Source organism: Homo sapiens, chromosome 10, assembly GCF_000001405.40.
Source record: "Homo sapiens chromosome 10, GRCh38.p14 Primary Assembly".
Classification (NCBI taxonomy): Eukaryota; Metazoa; Chordata; class Mammalia; order Primates; family Hominidae; genus Homo; species Homo sapiens.
Window position 1 is genome coordinate 85,724,820 of NC_000010.11, and position 20,457 is coordinate 85,745,276.

General features: G+C 41.6%; 1 protein-coding gene across 3 annotated transcripts in view; it reads right to left on the reverse strand.

Moving 5' to 3' along the window:
* GRID1 (glutamate ionotropic receptor delta type subunit 1) overlaps positions 1–20,457 on the reverse strand; it is a 767,244-nt gene that overhangs the window by 125,268 nt on the left and 621,519 nt on the right. For all 3 annotated transcript variants that reach the window (NM_017551.3, XM_047425122.1, XM_047425123.1), the window contains 2 exons: positions 4,694–4,795; positions 3,036–3,233 (listed from right to left, as the gene is read on the reverse strand). In NM_017551.3, the coding sequence (NP_060021.1) occupies positions 3,036–3,233; positions 4,694–4,795 (300 nt within the window). The remainder of the gene's footprint in view (positions 1–3,035; positions 3,234–4,693; positions 4,796–20,457) is intronic.

A 20,457-nucleotide genomic window follows, 5' to 3' on the forward strand; every position in this document is an offset into this window, starting at 1 on the left:
TTATAAGGAAAATCCAACACTAAGTTGTCTGTTACTATTTCCTTCACCTTACAAGTCTCTCTCTTCTAAAAACTTCAGGAAACTGCTTCTACAGAAAAGAGCCGAGTAAAGTATCTTCATTTCTCTACGAATTATAGTTTATCTTCACTTTGTTGTTTTCCTACCAAACTTTAGCTATCTTCTTTTTATTTTCCCTATGTTTCCCTCTACCCTCCACCAAGAAGGCCCTTCTATCTTCTAGGCCTGTGTGCATCCTCCCTACATGTTAAGACCAGAGGCACACTCCATTTCTTCATCACACCTCTCAGACTCTATTATCCCACATTGATCTTTCTCTTTTCTAAAACACTTCAGAAGTTATATGGTGAGTTCTACAACTATGTTAGACCTCATTAACATATTAGCCAGTGAGTGTTTCATATGTAGACTTCATGCCAGAGAGTAAAATACTGAAAGAATAAAGGGGTCATATATTTATTTCTATCTTCCACCACCCTTAATTCATGGCTTGCAAACCCACAGGTTTATTCTTCCATGGTAAAGCCATGGTGTGAAGAATCTCTCTGGATGTGCCCTACTATGACCTTAAAATTACCTCCCAAGATGTTTGCTTTCCAAAATGGGCTTCATTTTAAAAACAGACAGAAACCCCATTAAGATGGATCCAGACTGTGAGGAGAAAACTGCCAAGTTTGGGGCGATTACGGGTTTCATGTCCGGATGGGTGGATGCCAGGTGACAATGGGGCTTAGGGTCCTCCTTTAGTCACAAGAGCACTGAAAGGCAGTCATCATAATGATCTGGCCTCTTGACCCTCAAAGTGGGAGGCATCAGCAGAACTAGTTTCTTTTAGAATGACCAATAGTGACAACTGATTCAACCTCCAAGCTCAAACTGAGGAAACACACGTGGAAGGATTTTTTCAAGGTTTAATATGTAGGCTAGGGACAGATATACTCATGTCCTAAACAGAAATCTAATACTATACCTTGAGTAAAGGCAGCAAATAGGAAGTGACCCTATCAACACTCTCCTCTTACACTTGTCACACTGGCATCTCTGGTTCTTGCCTCTCTTCTAAAAACTCTAGCATCCAGGGACAATTTTTAGGATTAGGAAAGTTTGGAGCATATTTAAGGGCTTAAAAAGAGATTTAATGGAGCAGGATAGGCTTACAAGACAAAATGAAGGGAAACTAATTTATGAAGCAAGGTTCAAAGGAGGCACAAAGGAATCAACTCATGACACAGGTGGAGGGGTTGTCCTGTGACAGTGGGACAGACTGACAGGGGACAGGGGACACTCCCTTCTGTGGGAGATGGCAGGTGCCTGCAGATGTAAATTTCATAGGAATTAGAGGTACAATTTTATGCCCCAAAATCTCAGTTTATTTCCCCAATATAGAAGTACAATCATTTTTTTTTTTTTAGTTGGGAAGGATAGAAGATTCTTAGGTAGCTCAAGAAGAAAGGTAAACTTTTTAAACGGTCTCTGAGAGACATAGCCAAGGAGCCCAACAAAGGACAAGTTAAAAGATTCTGGCAGTACTGAAGGGCCCAGCTGATTTTGGAGACCACACAGGGTTTCTAAAGCAATCTGGACAGATTCACAATTTCCTTCTCTAATTTAGTGTAGCAACCTGGATTTCAGAGTGAAGAGGATAGATAATAGAATCCATTCAGGCTTAGGATGCAACAAAAAAATTAAGAACAGAGGGAGTCACAAGGGATGAAGGGAGGAGGGGTTTGTCTGGCCACCCATAGAGGACGCAGTATCAGAAAGGCACAGAAGCTGCAGAGAAGGATGGGCCTCAAATACACACACTACGTGGAAAGAACCAGACACAAAAGACCACATCTTGTGTGACTCCATTTACACAAAATGTTCACTGAAGCAACTCTATATAAGATAGAAAGTAGATTAATGGTTGCCTAGGGCTGGGGGTGGGAATGGCATTAACTATAAGTAGGTATGAAAGATATCAATGGCGTGACGGAAGTATTCTAAAACCAGATTATAATGAAGGTTGCACAACCCGGTATCTTTACTAAAAATCATTGAATTGTATATCTAAAATGGATAAATTTTATAGTATGTGAATTTATCACAGTAAAGGTGTTTCTGAAAAAGATTAATAGAAATCGGACGAATGACAAGCCTAGTGTCTGCCTTTACAGATTTAAAAAGCAAAGGGCCTGTGCTGTGAGAGTAAAAGTTCAAAAGAGTCAGAAGGACAACTTGTTGTGGTCATGCAGTGGGCTAGTGATGGTGACATGTAAGATGCTAACAAGATGCATGGGGGTGAACACTGGAGTGGAGTACAGCAAAGGTCCCTGGAGGCGAGGAGGTCAAAGTATTGGGAGTCCAGGGTTGTCCACAGGGATGTCAGAAATTGTCAGAATGGTGGCAGGAGAAATAATGGAGATGGAGGATTTGAGTCAGATGCCACCATGATAAATAATCATGGGGAAATGACCCAGTGTCATGAGATGACAAGAATGGGGACATGGTAAGTTGGCCTCATGCCACGAGTTTCAATGAAGATGCAGTTTCTACGGGAGGGAAGAAGAGTACAATTTAAATAAGTATGAGGACCTGGGGGATGCCACACCATCAACACATAGCAATGTAGACATACACACATATGTATGAATATCTAACCTGTGGTCTATAAGGGATAGGAGAATGAGCACTCATCAGTACCCCTGGTGGGAACTAGGTTTCTGCTTCACCCTAAACGTAGGGTAGGTTCCTTGAAGGGTGTGCTACAGAGTAGGCACAGTGGATGATAGACTTCAAAGGAATGACAGCAATGGGCAGGGAGGTAACATAGAGTGTCAGAGACGAGGAGATACAAGAGCAGAAATGGATGTAGCAGGGGATTTGAAGACAAAAGAGCCTTTGTGTGGGGAGAATGGTAACTGTGGTCTGTTTAGCTGGTCCCAAGGTTTCCACTGTGCAATTGGTCAAGTTTAGATATTACCCCAGAGGAAGACTAGGGTGCCCCTCCCCCTGGATCTGCTATGGGGACCTACCTTGCTGATGAGCTCCCCGATCATCCCGTTCCAGGAGGTGTTATGGAGCTGGTGACCGTACCTGCCATCAGGGGCTTGGTAAATCTCATATTTAAAGCCCAGAGCCTTGGCCAGTGCATCCAGGACATCTATGGAGAACCCTTTGTAGCGCTTGGGCTGTCCTAGGATGTTCTCAGCCACCATCACGAAAGGCTCTTCCTGAGGACAACAGAATGAAGGTTCTCCAATTAAATAACAGGTTCATCAACACATATTTCCAGTGTAATGTTAGAGAGAAAGATCTGATTAGAACATTTGCAGTTCCCCAATTTAGGACTTCAGGCTCAACTTCTCTGCCTTTTTCTAAAAGCAGTTTATGGACACTCAAGGAACAGTGCACAGGATGATCACTCCAATCAGTAGGTCCATACAGAGGAGTGGAGATTCATTTGTCCCGTGTCATCCCAGGCTCTGCCCCAACCCCTAGTTCCCTGAATAACATGGTTTGTTTTCCTTCCTCCGTTTGTAACATCCATGCAGAGCTAGGACTGTATCCTTAGAATATGCCAAAATTATATGAGGCCCACATAAGAAACATGCAACTTCTCATCCAGGATAGTAAGTGGCGATAAAGCTCTGTGACATTAGGTTGAGAGAAAAAGCATTATATCTACAGGCTATACTAGAAAGTGGATATGGATATGGATTAACTGACCAAGGCCAGACCAGAAGCCAAAGGGTAGGACAGAATTCAAACCCAGAGTTCCTAGTTCAAAGCCATGCCATGCTCACACCTGCACATGTTGTGCTATGCCACATGTGAGCGAGGTGGTCATCTGAAAAATGTCTTGGCACTCCCTACCATTCCCCTTCCTTCTTGTGTGAAACTGAACAAGGGGCCTTTGGCAAACAGCTCCAGGGAGTATAGCTCATTAATTTAGTTGTGTTGGGAAATAGGGTGTAAAGCTTATCTGTGGTGTGCAAACAGAGAATGCAGAAATACTGTTGCCAAAGGTTTCTAAGCCAAGGGAATGCTAGTGTCTGCTGGGAGAGAGGGGACGTTTGGGCACGTGTGACTCAGCCAATAAGAGGCAAGTCTATAATGTCTCCTGCAGTTTTTATAAAAATGTGAAAAAAGCAATTGAAAGGAAGATGCTTTTAAAGTCTCTTACAAATGCAAAAGTCTATGATTCCAGGACATCCATGCAGAAAAGTTGCAACTACCGAATGGTCTTCATTCTGAACTTGTGTCACTGTCACATGAGCCCATCACTGGTGTTGGGTGCTAAGAGAATGTCCTCCTCCAGCATCTATCTTGGGGTTCTGGCTACCAGAACAACTCTCCTAAGGACCAGTAGTGGGTCAAGATCCATTTTACATCCAAGAACAAATGGAGCAGCTTGGCCCCCTCTGGTCCTCAGAGGAAGCTGTGAATGAGAAGTCCTTTTCTAGAGCAGCTCAGGGACTTCCTTTGGAAGGCACAGAGGTCCTGGGGCAGAAACTTCAATCTCACTCTTCCTTTCATTATTCATACAATTATTTGAATGAAAGGCCTTATGAAAGCTCACAATACTCCTCAAGATTCTCTTCTCCCCAAACCCAGCATTAAACAGAAAGCAGCCTCTGATTCAACAGCCTGGATGGTGTAGCTCGCTCCCAGAATGTCCCCATGATCCTACCAAGACAGTCACCACTTTAAGAGTCAATCCTTGGAGGCGGCTGCCCATGGGCCTCTCTTGCAAGCTGCCATTCAAGCCCTTCTCTGAGTCCCATGTCGCCAACTGTGAAGGAAAAATAAAGATTGTGAGGGATGGAACTGGCACCCGTGCACACCATAGGACCTCGGCTCCTACACTGGGATCCTGAATTAGGCAGGTAGGTGAACAGTAGTCCCCTGGAGTTCCCAGAGACCCAGAGCCATTTTAAAACCCTAAAGAGAATAGATATATGGTAGACAGAGTTACATGTCCTCCTTCAGCTCGCCTGGATCTCTATAGAGCTCAGCACAGCCCTAAAATGAAACCAACTGGTGAGAACTTGTCTCTAGAACAAATGTTTATGTCCAGTTTTATTCTGTTCACCCACAGAGGCCATGTCACTGTGATGCCTGCAAAATACCCTCTTTCTTTAATTACTCCTTTGACTTGCCCAGGCCACAAGGCCCTTGAGTTCAGCCATTGCTCCCTCCATGGGTAGGATGAAGCTCAGCAGTAAAGCAAGTAGCAAACACTCAAGTGTACAGCTTGTCTTGCACCCCGGTGCCTATGGCAAGCAGGGTCAAGAGCTTCCTGCCTGTTTTCACTGTGGTGCCAGCTCCCTCATTTTCCTTGACAGGCAGGTAGAGGCTAATGGCAGAGTAAATGTGCTCTGAATCTGCTACATTCTCTTAAGCCTGCAGAGTATATCCAATAGCCAGAGGCATCTCTGATAGTCACCCTAAGGTGGTCAAGGAGAACCTACCTTGGCTCAGAAACAATGAGGAGACACAGTTGTTCATGAGACTGCTTCCCCTCCCTGCATCCTTGCAGGGTCTATACAACGACAAAACTTTTGTCTGGGAAACGATTCTCGACTATTAATGGGGAAGACATAACAAAATGCAGATACCCAGCCCCATCTCAAGTCAACTAAATCAGGATCTCAGGGCCTGAGCATAGGAAGTGTTAATGCCTCCTGAGTGCTCCTGATACTGCAGCCAATGTCGAGAACCCCTGCTCTTCTAGGTCACTGGGCCTCCAACTTGGCTGCATATTAGTATCTTTTAAGGGGGCTTTATAATGAAGTGTACTGAAAGTTGGGCCTTACCCCCAGAGCCTCTTATTTAATTGGTCTGTAGTGGACTAGAGATGGATATTTTAGCTCCCCAGGTGATTCTAATGCACAGCCAGAATTGTGAACCACTGCTGTAGATTAAAGCCATGATGCTCAAACTATGATATCCACACAAATCACCCAGGGATTTTGTATGCACTTTCTGATTCTGGGGCCTGAGATTATTCATGTCTAACAAGCTCCCAGGTGATGCTGCTGCTGCTGCTGCTAATCCATGGACCACAATTTAAATAGCAGGGGGCTAAAGGGTCAAACTGCCACAGGCAGTATATACTGTTGTCAGGGAAAATCCATAAGACCCCCTAGTTAACCTGAAGAGAAGAAGAACTCCAGTGGAAAAGTGCTACTGGGGGCCCTAAAGTAAAGAATGCTTCTACTCTGTCAGCATTTCCCATGGTCCTGACATCTGCAGCAGGGTCTGCACACTAAGCCCTGACTATAAGGCCATAGAACCTGAGGAGTCATTCCTCCTGGAAGAGACAACAACTCTGAGATGTAAAACCATCAGAATAAGAGATGGAGTTCTAGAGTCAGTTTTAAAGAAACCTGGAATTTCCTGTTGTCACCTTGGACATGATACCCACCAAGACCCACTCCATCCTGAATAATAGGGTGCCTTGGTGTGATGAATAAATAAATTAGTAAAAAACATGGCCATGTACCCCAAAGAACCACCCACCGCCACCACCACTAATTAATTTGGGGGCATTGAGATAAAGAACAAGTGAAGATCTACCCAAAATTCTGCTTAAAGACCTCGAAGATACCAAAATACCACACTTTGGGTAATGATACAGTTAAAAAAAAAAAAAGCAAAAATCATGGCTATTTCTCCATTGGACCTTAAAAAATAGGCTGAGAGCTGTGGCTTATGCCTGCAATCCCAGCATTTCGGGAGGCCAAGGTGGGTGGATCGCTTGAGTCCAGGAGTTCAAAACCAGCCTGGGCAATGTGGTGAAATACTGCCTCTATAAAAAATAAAAATAAATTAGCCAGTGTGGTGGCATACTCCTGTAGTCCCAGCTATTTGGGAGGCTGAGGTAGGAGGATCAATTGAGACCAGGAGGTCAAGACTGCAGGGAGCCACAATTGTGCCACTGCACTCCAGCCTGGGCAACAGAGTGAGACCCTGACAAAAAAAAAAAAAAGAAGAAGAAGGAAGGAAGGAAGGGAGGGAGGGAGGGAGGAAGAAAGGGAGGGAGGAAGGGATAAAGAAAGGGAGGTAGGGAGGGAGGGAGAAAGAAAGAGAAAGAAAGAAAGAGAGAGAGAGAAGGGAAGGGAAGGGAAAGGAAAAAGGAAAAAGGAAAGGAAAGGAAGAAATTGCATTAAGATACAGAATTGGTTCCTACAGCTGGATTAAAATGCTTGTCAGAGGGAAGAGGACAAATTCAGACAAATGGGGTCAAGGGGTTGATTGCCTCTATTCTTTGGATGTTCTACTATGGACTCACTGGGGCAGGAGTGGATATTTATTTGGGGTGCCTGCATCTGCACTCCCATAACTGCTTAGCCCAGGTGCTGGAGCTGCTTAGCCCTGATGTGTGTCCTGCTACTTCTCCTGGGTGTAGGTGGAGTTATAGAGGTCTTCTTGACCATCCCAATGGCTCACAGAGTCATAACAGAAGACATCTTGTCCTAATGATGATGTGACCATTCCAGGCACTCAATACTCTTATCCTGCACCAGGACCCAGATTCGTAACATCTGCTGCCAAACCTTCCTGGTACGGTGAAGGGGCATCTTAATTCTCTACTGTCTTGGCTTGGATGAGTGTTTGGAATGGAGCTCTGTGCATCTTGATCAACAAGGCTTTACCTGTCTTTCTACTGGGATTATAATCAGAAATTAGAATGGAGGATGGAGGCAGGAAGAAACAGTTGGGATGAAGCCCTGAACATCATTCTCTGCTTCTGGCTCACTGCTTGGCTCCAGGATGCACCACCTCAGTCCCCCTAGACCTTTGCAACAGCTTTCTCATTGGTTTCGCTGCTCTCAGCCTCTCTTATAGCACATCCTTCAACAGGCAAGTGGGTACCCTTACAACAAATAAACTCAAATATGAACTATATTAATTAAAATATTCTAATGAATTCCTTTTTCTTACAGAATAAATCCTAAGACTTTTCAGCTTGGCCTAAAAGAAAAGCCTTCCTCATCCAGAGCCAATCCTGACTCTCAACCTCACTTTAGTTTATGTAGTTACAGTACACTAAAATCCCCAAAATCCCTCCTTCTTTCTCAGGCACACCACATTCCCTCCTGATATTTGTATCTAGTTTTTCTCTGCCTGGAATGCCCTTTCTCCTCTTCTGGGTCTGGTAAACTCTTACTTGTTTGTTGAAATAAGATTTCACTTTAGAATAGTTTTAGATTTACAGAAAAGTTGTAGATATTGTACACAGAATGTCAATAGATCCATAAGCCAGTTTTTCCCATTAAGACATAACATTAGAATGACACATTTATCACAACTAATGAATGTTCAGCCCAATATCCATGATTTATGCAAATCTGCAATAGAAATGAAATAGAAGGACCTCCAGTTCCTTCTACTCTTGGCATAAGTCAGTGAGTCAGCTGTGGCATTGGGGTTTCTTGCCATGTTCTCTGGGGTCAAAACTCTGTCTTCATAAGCTGTCTAGAGCCTCAGGCTCTTGGGCTAGACCTGGCCTTGCTCATTCCCATCTCAGGATCTCCAACCTTGCCTCGAATTCCAGGCTCTCCTCTCCAACATTAACTTCTGTAACTGGAGAAGAAGATGGGAACTTGGAGGTGTGAACTTAGCAGATGTTCATGAGTCAGTAGACCTATGTTCTAATTGTTGTCACCACTTACCTGAGTGACCTCAGATAGCACTTGACAGCACAATGCTTGAAACATAGAAAGAGTCAACAAATATTTTTGTATACAAAAAAATACAGAAAAATGTGTTGAGATTACAGGCGTGAGCCACTGTGCCCAGCTGATTCTATTTTCTTATCTATGAAATGGGAAATAAAAATCTTCCTTGCCTACAAATTGAGGGGCTGTTCAAAGAAGAAAATAACTTTGAAACAGTCTATTATAAAATAGCTTAATTAAGAATCACAAAGTAAAGAACCAGGATATAAAACTGTATACAATATGACCTCAATTATGTTTTTTTAAAAGCAGTGGTAAAAACGGGAGAAGACACGTTAAAATGTGATACGTGGATATATGTGTTACATATAGGTGATGGAATTATAAGTAATCATTATTACCTTCTTTATCCTCTTCCTGATTTTAACAGGATTTTCACTAATAGGAAGTAAAATAAGCTTTTGATAAAAATAACTAGCATAGATGATTAAGCAATATCCTATCACATGCACTTGTACGACTCAAAACTGCATGATAGGGGAGCAATTGGAGTCAAATTACCTGTCAGTATGTCAAGGCCAATCTGAGAGTCAGAACCCAATAAATCAGTGCTTTGGCTGTAAGGAATTTTGGTCTAGGGGTGCTTTATCTCCTAGAGGGGGCATATGGCTAGTTTGGCCAGCACAGCATCTCATATTCTAGGATCTCTCCAAGATGGTGGGAGCTCTGTAAACTGTTGAGTTGGGAGATAGGAAGTGGCCACAGCTGAGGCCCAGATCCATGAAGATAAGCAATCCAAGTAATCTTTCTCTGCTGAGAAAGAGGAGCAGCTTCAAATCATTTTAGTTAATATTCAGACAACCTTAATACGAGAAGGCCATGTAAATTAAAATGGAATTTCATGAAGGAAAAAAAATTCTTCCAAGCCTATTATCATGCTTCTCTCTTTATCTAAAAGTGGTTAGGAATTAAAAGTATTTTTGTTTTGTTTTGCTTTAATACAGACTTCTGTCTCCCTGGCCTTTAGGCATCCTGTACCCTGATAAAGCAAGAAAAAAAATACTTCAAAGCAAAAAATCAAAATTCTGCCTTTCAAACACATCAAAGTTCAACTATGTTCCAGGATTCAGGATCCTTCATATTGGGTAGGAAACTTTATTATTCCCTCACATCAGACAGAAGCCAAGTGCCCCAGGCTGAGTGAATCTCCCCATTTCCACAAAACTGTGTGATCTTGCCCAAATCTTAAGACAAGAGTGGTAAACCTCCATCATTACTGGTCAAGGCCATCCGTCTGCAATCCAAAATATAAGGCCAGAACATAGAAAAGCACGGTTCACAAGAAATAATCCAGTGGAATTTTTTTTATGTAAATGAAGGCTTTAAATGGATCACCAGCCTTGTAGTCACCCAAGATTAGGAGAGACATGCATCCCTCCCCCATCCTGAGGGGGTCTGGCGCTCGCCACTCTGAATGCTCAGGAAAATGTTTCAGTCAATAAAAGCCAAACGAGGCCGATGGGCTTGATAAGTGGGAAGCCAGAAAAAGCTTTCATCCAAAGAAGTCCCAACACTTAGTCATACAGCTCCAGACCATTTCATTTGTACATGAGTGAGTCTACTCTGACTTCCCCTTGTATTTTGCAGACAGAATTTTGTTTACAGGATCGATGAATTTATGGCCGCACACACCCACTTTTGACAGCTGACCTGTCAAGATCAGTGCCTGAAAAACTAATTTCCAGCACTATTAAACAAAACAAGTACTGCTGCTATTTGATAAGACAGCTACGGTTTTCATTCATTGCTGAGATCTGCTCTACCCAAACCAGAAATGTGGATGGAGCCAGAGGTTATAGCACAATCATCACTTGAAAGGAGATATATGGCCTCAAAATCTGATTATGACAAACAACTGTGCAAGAGATCAGCCAATTGGAGAATATATTTCACAAACCACTGGTCTCAGGAAAATATATTTCCCAAGTCAACCAGGATGTTCTTCAAGTTAGTGTTTCTGAGTTGTAAGATGTGGGCATTTGGGACTCTGTGGCCCTGTCCTTAATAAATGCAGGGTTATTAACCCTAAATGGGACAGGCATCCTTTGGAAGATTGGGCTTTGTGTTCTGTAGACTAGTTATAAAGGTGTCTTAAAGTGTCATTCTCTTTTCATGGGGAGGAAGAATAGAAACGGGTGGCAATCTTACTGTTTTACAGCCCAGAGACAAAATATAACCAATTTCATATAGAGAGCATTGTAAATTCCTGCGAAGGGAAGGAGAGAGGAAGGGAGGAAGGAAGGAGGGATGGAGGGATGCAGGGAAGGAAAGAAGGAAGGGAGGAAGGAAGGAAGGAAGGAAGGAGAGAAGGATGGAGGGAGGGAAGGAGGGAAAGGGAGGAAGCAAGAGAAGGAAGGAAGGAGAGAAGGCAGGAGGGAGAGAAGGAGGGAGAAAGTGAAGAAGGGAGAGAGGGAGAAAGGGAGGGAGGGAGCAAGGGAAGGAAGGAGGGAGGGAGGGAAGGAGGGAAGTAGGGAGGGAGAAAGGAAAGAAGGAAGGAGAGAGGGAAGGAAGGAGAGAAGGAAGGAAGGAAGGAGAGAAGGAAGGAACGAAGGAGGGAGGGAGAAAGGAAGGAGAGAAGGAAGGAAGGAGGGAGGGAGGGACACAGGAAGAAAGGAAGGAAGGAGGGAAGGAAGGAAGGAAGCAAAGAAGGAGGGAAGGAAGGAGAGAAGGAGGGAAGGAAGGAGAGAAGGAAGGAAGGAGAGAAGGAGGGAGGAGGGGAGAGAGGGAGAAAGAGAGGGAGAGAAGGAAGAAAGAGGAAGGAAGGAAAAAAGGAAGGAATGAAGGAAATAACCCCAAATCTCATGCTTAATAATATCCAACAAGACAATGGATCAATAAGCTACACTGTCACAATTTTACAGCTCAGTTGGTAAGCTTGTCTCAAGGTAGTATTGGAAGGCAAAAGGTGAAGATTTTATGGCCATGTCTATCAGACCTCATCTGAAATCCCATAAGAGCTATGTTCTCATCAACCAGTGACTGCCATGATCTGAGTGCAGATGGCCCCAGCCTCAATGATGATGGCCATAGTGGGTCTGTCATTATGTCAGTGCATGGGCTTTTCTAAAACAATAAGTCATCTACTAGGGTTTTTTTTCTTTGTTTACTTCTATTGGAAAGCAAATGGGCTCAGAGTATGTTTCAAAGGATCACAGCCTTAAATAGGGGTAAGGTGAAAGGGAACTCACTATCTTGAATCAGCTTGATTTGGACATTCGGCCAGCACTGATATCAGATAATCCATTGCAAGCCTTAACCTTCAGCTAAATGCAGGAACAACATGTTTAGATACAAACACAGCACCTTGGAAGGAGAGTGTGAACATCTGAGGGTAGAATATTAATATTGGTAGCCAGGATTCCTGAAGTAAGGTATAACTTGAGAGGTCATTTTGGGAATCCCAGCATATCAGAGCCAATGAACCTGGGCCTTGGAGGGTATGAGTCACAGGAGTTGGCAGTCAGAACCTAGTTAATACACCCACTGAGGAAGAGGCTAGGACCACTCTTGAACATCTCAGGCATGTGTATAGGAAGGAGTGATTATCGCTGTCTGAGATGGAGAGAATTGAGAGTATCCATCTCAGTTAGGACCTTTGCACAAGGAATTGAGCCTTTGGTGAAAGACATACTTTCTTAAAAACAAGTCCTAGAAGGATGTGTGTTAAGTGTCCAGAGGACAGAGCTGTAAGAAACTAAAAGAAGAGTGAAATGGAAAGGAGAGCTATCATATACAGGGGCTTTTGAAAAACCTTTAGCAAGGATGGGGAAAAGATACTTCCCAGTGGTGCTGGAGAGAAAGGCAATGAAAACCAGCAGAAATACCTTCTGCACTGGCAAGAGATCAGTCATAATGAAGGCAATGGAAATGCTCAAGCTCTAGCTTCTACTACCTTAAAGCCCAGGCCACAATGGTCTCAGTGGGCTCACACAGGATAAAAGGACTGACCAACTCCAATAATGCCATCAGTGGAGACTTTTGTCATATTAAGAGCAAGGATGGAGGCAGGCAGTTCCACTTCTGCTTAAGATATAGAAAGGAGCGAGAGGATTTTTGAACAACAACAACAGTAAAGCCAGATATATATATATATATATATATATATATAAACATATATGGTTATATATATATATATATAACATACATGTTTATATATATATAACCATGTATTATATTCATATATATACAACCATATATATATGTATAACCATACATATATACATATATATAAAGTTAGCCTATAAGAAACTTGCAATTGCAAAACCACCCTTTGAACTGAATTTCAAATGGTACAAAACCACTCCAAGGAGAGACAGGATGCAAGAAGTGTTTCTGCTCTATGGCAGAGCATGGATCAAAAGCAGGTGGTAGTTATTAAAGTGGGTAAGAAGAAAAAACCCTGGAATTTTAACAATCTTAAAGGTCAGATGTGGGCCAGCAGGACAGTCAGGATCCCCGGGCCCTAGACTCAAGGGAGGCCACATCTACTCATCAGCTCTTCTCCACCAAACCTCCACTGGATGGAGCAGGAAAAAGAAAAATATAAGCTACCATCCAAAAGTTATAGGAAAATATCAAAGATGTGTGTACCCAATAAAGGATATGTATCAGGTATACATAAAGAAAACTTACAAACAACTCATTTTTAAAAATACAGAAAGGACTTATTTTTCCAAAGAGGAAGACATGTGATAGGCCAATATGCACATGAAAACATACATGCTCCATATCATGAGTCATCAGGGAACTGCAAAGTAAGGTCACAAGGCAGTACACTAAACCTCACTAGAATGGCTAAAATCAAAGACTGATGTTACCAAGTGTCACTGAGAATCTGGCAGGCAAAATCTGCAGCCACATTGGAAGACACTTCGGCAATTTCCTATAAAGTTAAACATATGATGTTAAGCCCAGCAATTCCACTCCTAGACATTACATAAGGGAGATGTAAACCGTGTCCATACAAAGGTCCATATGTGAATGTTCATTGAAGCTTTATTCATAATAGCCAAAAAATTGAAACTCTCCAAATGTGGATCAGCTGGTGAATAGATAAACAAAGTGTGAGATATTTACACAACAGAGTACTACTCAGCAATAAAAAGCAACAAGCAACTGACACACACAACAACATGGATAAAGCTCAAAAGCATTACGCCAAGTGAATGAAGCCAGACATAGGAGACTGCGTGCTTTACGATGCTGTTAATATGGCATTCTCGCAAAGGCAATATTATAGGTACTGAAAATAGATCAATGTTTGTCTGGAGGTGGGGATGGGAGAAGGGTATCAAATGCAAAGAGGAAGGTGGGACATTTGGGGCTAATGGAAGTGTTCTATATTTTGAATGGCCTGGTGCTTACATTACCATATACATTTGTCAGAGCTGATCAAACACCATATACCTCAAATGGATAGATTTATTGCACATACTAAATAAACCATATGGTTTATTTAGATACAAGTATGTGCAATAAATCCAGCCATCTGAAATCATTATGTATAAAATCATTATATATATATATGGCACATACTTGTATTTAAATATAGTTAAGGTTTATTTAGATACAAATATGTGCCATACACACAAACACACACACACATACAATGATTTGTTAAATGATGGGCCATGTGCTGAGGAGGTAGGTAGTGGCACTAACCTGTCACATGACTAAACGATGACCTATTGGCAAGGATGATAAGAGAAAATGATTGCCAAAATAACATTATGGCCGGGCACAGTGGCTCATGCCTGTAATCCTAACAACTTGTGAGGCTAAGGCAAGAGAATCACTTGAGCCCAGGAGATTGAGACCAACCCAGGCAACATGGCAAGACTCCATCTCTAAAAATAAACAAATAAAAAAAACAGCCAGGCATTGTGTCATGCACCTGTAGTCCCAGATACTCAGGAAGTTGAGGTGGGAGGATCACTTGAGCCCAGGAGTTCCAGTCTGCAGTGAGCCATGATTGAGCCACTGTACTCAAGCCTGGGTGACAGAGTAAGACTTCAACTCAACTCAAAACAAAACAAAACAAAACAAAAATAACATTATGATCAATTTTAGTACTCTCAGGTGACTGTGCTTTAATTACATGGAGCTAGATGGTATCAAGTGGCCAAAAAATTATCGATCTCAAAGAACTAGATGCATCATTGTAAGGGTTTAGGAAGAATATAAGTACAGTTTTAACTGCAAATAGCTCCATGGTGTGTGGGGGGAAAAATAGATTACATAACATTATATATAGTATGATCCAACTTTTTAAAAGCTTATTTCTTTTTGTGAGATGGTGCACATATAAGCTTAAGCTCAAAGGTAGTTATAAGTAGCTGTTTCTGGCATTGGGTAGAGCAATGGGATTATAAGGAATGTTCATCTCTTGCACTACACTGTACTATAAGGTTTGAACTGTTTTACCTAGAGGAAGCATTGTTTTTATAATCAGAAGAAAAATGATAAAGCAATTTTCATTTTGAAACTGCAGTGCAATCTAGCTTATGACTGTAATGTTGATTTCGTACCTCTCTTTAATTGTTTCAGGTGTATTGGTTTTTTTCTCTCTAAATAAACTGCAAGTTCCAGCAAAGGCATTCTCTATAGTGGGACAAGCCAGGCTGGAATTCTGTTTCTTCCACAGATGAGCTTGGGGACCTTCGGCAAATTGTGAACTGGTCATATTTGTTCTCTGGGCTCAAGTGTCTTCATGTGTTGCAAGTTCCATCAGATATTAGTTATTGTTATTAATAATATGATCTCTCCTCTTAAGTCTCTATTATGCTCAGGCTCATACTAGCAGATTAAGAGATTCTTGTTGGTTTTAATTGACCCGAATTAATGACCCTATGTACACTATACCTCAGTCTGAAGTCTGACAAGACACTTCTGACAGTCAATTCTATGAGTTCTTACATAGAAAAAAGTGGCAGGTGTCTCCCATTACACTCTCTCAAACTCTGGACTGGCTCCTCTCTCTGGAACATCGTTCCCTTCCTTTGTCCTCTGCCTCCTACTCATCCTTTCAATATCATTCTAGAGATTTTTCCTTGTACCTCCAGGAAGTACAAGGTAGTTATAAGTAGCTGTCTCCCTTGGGTGAGCCCATGATATCCTGACCATACCCCTGTGGAAATGCCTTTCATAATATATTAAAATTTTACATCTATCTGTTCACAAATACACTGTACTTTTTTTTTTTTTGCAATGGAGTCTCGCTCTGTCACCCAGGCTGGAGTGCAGTGGCACGATCTTAGCTCACTGCAAACTTTGCCTCCCCAGTTCAAGCAATTCTCCTGCCTCAGCCTCCCGAGTAGCTGGGATTACAGGTGTGTGCCACCACACCTGGCTAATTTTTGTATATTTTTAGTAGTGACTGCGTTTCACCATGTTAACCAGGCTGTTCTCGAACTCCTGACCCCAGGTGATCCACCCACCTCAGCCTTCCAAAGTGCTGGGATTACAGGTGAGCCACTGCGCCCAGCCCACATAACTTTTTGTTAAGGCAGAGACCATCTCTTCTTCATTTTGATTTGCTCAATAAAATCTTGTTTGAAAAACTAATAATATTGATCATCTTCTGGGTGCTTCCTCATTAAATGGCTGGAATTTCATTCTTTTCTTAGACTCAGGGTCCCAGATTATGCCTCATATTTGAAGCTCTGCAAAAGGTTTTCTCACTCAGTGCTGATTTACTTAGAGTGGTTGAAAGTTCCTGGGTTGGATTTTGTCTTTTGCATGATTTTGTGTTGGAAACTTACTTTAAGACTTCTAGTCATGGTAAAGTATTTGAATAATAAATATATATTTTTTTAAACTCGCTTGATATGTCTTTACCACTAGGCCCCTGTTAGTGTGTGGTCAGTGGGCCAGGAGCATTGCAGCATGTCTCCATCCCACATCTACTGAATTAGTTTCTGCATTTTGACAAGAGTCCCAGAAGAACATAGGCACAGTAAAGTCGGAGAAGAACAGTTTCTATATCAGGGTACCATCATTTTTTGCTTGGGACCTTTATGAGCTGCCTTAACTATCCTTCAGTTTCTTTTTTATGCACTCCCTATCTAAGCCTCCCTCAATCCAGCTGCCAGGTTTCTCTTTTTCTTTAAGAAAATTGCTTTATTTCATTCTTCTCAAAATTCTCAAGTGGTTTTCAACTACAGTTGGGTCCTCCTTTTCATGGCCTGTAAGACTCACCAAGACCTGATCCATGTCTGCCTTTAACCCCAACCATCACACTTTCTACCTCGCTCACTACACCCCACCGACACTGGCCACCTTTCACTTTCTCTTTCAAGCCAAGGTCCTTCCTGATTAGGAACTTTGTGTATATCCTTCACGTTCCCAATAAATCTTATCTCTGACATTCACATCTCATGGTTGGCTCTTTCTCATCTGGTGGGTCTTGCCTGATGAGGTTTAATCTTGATAAAGGCCTTCTCAGGTTCAATCTTCCTAAGTATTTTAATATTTTTAAACACAAGACCTTGCTATTTTCTTCATACTTCTCAAATATTGAAACTGTGAAAAGCACCTTCCACGATAGGGAGGATGTCTATTTTGCTCACCAGCATCCACTAAACATCTGACACACTTTCTGGCACGTGGCATGCACTTAACAAATTATTTGTTGAATCAGGAAATAAATTAAAGAACTAGTTGATGGATAGTTCTTTAACTATTCCATAAAGGACCATGTTTACCATACAGTAAATATTTTAAGTTGTCTGGGCCATATGGTCTCTGTGGTCAACTACTCCACACATTGAGTAGTGGAGTTGGGTTCTAGTAGACTTTACTTAGAAATTAAGCGGCAGGCTGCATTGGGCCCAAGGGCCATAGTTCGTTAATTCCTGAATGTTGATACCTTTATTATATTGTTCCCACTGCCTAGAATGTTCTTGCTTCAATTACATATTTAAAAGCACTACCTTTCTTTCAAGGTTCAATTGTCACTTTAAAAAAATTGTTTAATTGCCCTGTTTTCAGGAAACCCCATTTTATCTCTCCAACTAGAAGTGACAGATCCTCCTGCATCTTTAACGCATTATGCTTACCCATTTTCACGGCACTGATCACATTCATATTTCCCTGACAGTTCCTGCAGCAGATTGTATTTTCTAAAGATGGTTGTGACAATATTCCCCATCCCACATGCTCTTCTGTAATGTGACTTCTCCACCTCCTATCAGGAAGAGAAGTCTAATTACTCTTCCTTTAAATCTGGGCTGAATCTGATGCTGTATGTCTTTGGGACTAGGTCAGAAAGGGCCATACAGTGTCTGCTTAGTTCTCTTGAGATACTTGCTCTAGGACAAAGCTTTTCAACCTGACACTATTGGCATTTGGGGCCAGATAATTATTTGTGGGTTGGGTGTGGGGGCTATTCTGTGCATTGCAGGATGTTTAGTGGCATCCTTGACCTCTGCCAACTAGATGCCAGTAGTGCCTCTCCCCCGACTCCCCGGCCCCCCACCAGTGTGATAACCAAAAATATCTCCAGACATTGCCAAAAACCCTTGGAGGATAGAATTATGCAGCCCCCCCCCCCACCACCCATTGAGAACCAATTATCTAGGAGAATCCAGCTGCCCGCAAAAAGTACAGTAACCCTGAGACCACCATGCTGGAGAGACCACCTGTGGGTCCCACATGGATCCCATATGTGTCCAGCCTTCCAATCACCTCTGCCAAAGCACTAGACATGTGAGTGAATCCATCTTAGACCCTTAAGACAGGTGCATAAACTAGCTGAGTGTCATTGAGTGACTTTAGTTAACATTAGAAGAATCCCAAAGACAAGCCCTGACCAAATTTCTGACATACAGAATCCATTAGACATTTATAAATTATTATTTTACAAAATTTGGGGTTGTCATGCAGTAATAGTAACTTGAAAAGAAGTTGGTCCTGGAAATACAGTGTTACAATAAAAAAATATAAAATATGTGGAATTGGCTTTGAGACTGTGTCTAGGAAGGAAGATAGGAGAACCTTAAGGAGACTTTTAGTGGAACCAAAACTCAAGAAAACTACTGTAGGAGTTTAGGGGAAAATATTGGAAGCTGAAAAAGAAGCTACTTTTGTTATTAGGTTGATGAGAAAGTAATTGTGGTTTCTGCCATTAAAGTCATGGTAAAAGCCACAATTAATTTTGCACGAACCTAATATCTAGTGGCAGAAAATTTTAGAAATTTTTCACATGCAGTAATATGGAAAGTAGAAAATCTATTTAATAAACTGGTGAATCTAACTACTGAAGTGTCCAGGCAGAAATTTGAATGATCCTTTGGTTTCTCTTAATTGCATGTCATAATGCATGCATAGGTGCATAGATAGTTCATAGATTAAGTAAAGAAGGGATTCTGTTTTCAAGCAGAATTTAAATAAAGTATATAGAAGATAGAAGCCAAGATTTGTTGGATTCAAAAATAAAATATTTTTTATTCTCAGTGTTTTCTAGCAGAAAATTCCAAAATAAGAGAGGTTCTCAATGCAAAGATCAACTCCTGCAGACTAGCCAGAAAATGTGGACCCATGAAATGAAGGGTATACCTGTAAACCCTTTCTTAAGACTTCATACATATTTAAAATGCTGCCTTGAAGACTTCTCAGAAAGACAAAAGACCTTCTATAGTCTTAAAGATGTACCTCACAGACCTTCTCTGTTAGACAACAGAAATTCTAAAAATCCCTAGGAGCCTGTTTGGGAATTCAAGCTAAAGAAGAGACTGTCAGAAATATTTGCAAGTGTGGCTTTTATCTAATGTGGTCAACAACTGATAAGCTTAATTTTAAAACCCACACAATTTTTAAAATGGAACAGAACAGAGCCCTCAGAAATAACGCTGCATATCTACAACTATCTGATCTTTGACAAACCTGAGAAAAACAAGCAATGGGGAAAGGATTCCCTATTTAATAAATGGTGCTGGGAAAACTGGCTAGCCATATGTAGAAAGCTGAAACTGGATCCCTTCCTTACACCTTATACAAAAATCAATTCAAGATGGATTAAAGATTTAAACGTTAGACCTAAAACCATAAAAACCCTAGAAGAAAACCTAGGCATTACCATTCAGGACATAGGCACGGGCAAGGACTTCATGTCCAAAACACCAAAAGCAATGGCAACAAAAGCCAAAATTGACAAATGGGATCTAATTAAACTCAAGAGCTTCTGCACAGCAAAAGAAACTACCATCAGAGTGAACAGGCAACCTACAACATGGGAGAAAATTTTCGCAACCTACTCATCTGACAAAGGGCTAATATCCAGAATCTACAATGAACTCAAACAAATTTACAAGAAAAAAACAAACAACCCATCAAAAAGTGGGCGAAGGTATATGAACAGACACTTCTCAAAAGAAGACATTTATGCAGCCAAAAGACACATGAAAAAATGCTCATCATCACTGGCCATCAGAGAAATGCAAATCAAAACCACTATGAGATATCATCTCACACCAGTTAGAATGGCAATCATTAAAAAGTCAGGAAACAACAGGTGCTGGAGAGGATGTGGAGAAATAGGAACACTTTTACACTGTTGGTGGGACTGTAAACTAGTTCAACCATTGTGGAAGTCAGTGTGGCGATTCCTCAGGGATCTAGAACTAGAAATACCATTTGACCCAGCCATCCCATTACTGGGTATATACCCAAATGACTATAAATCATGCTGCTATAAAGACACATGCACACGTAT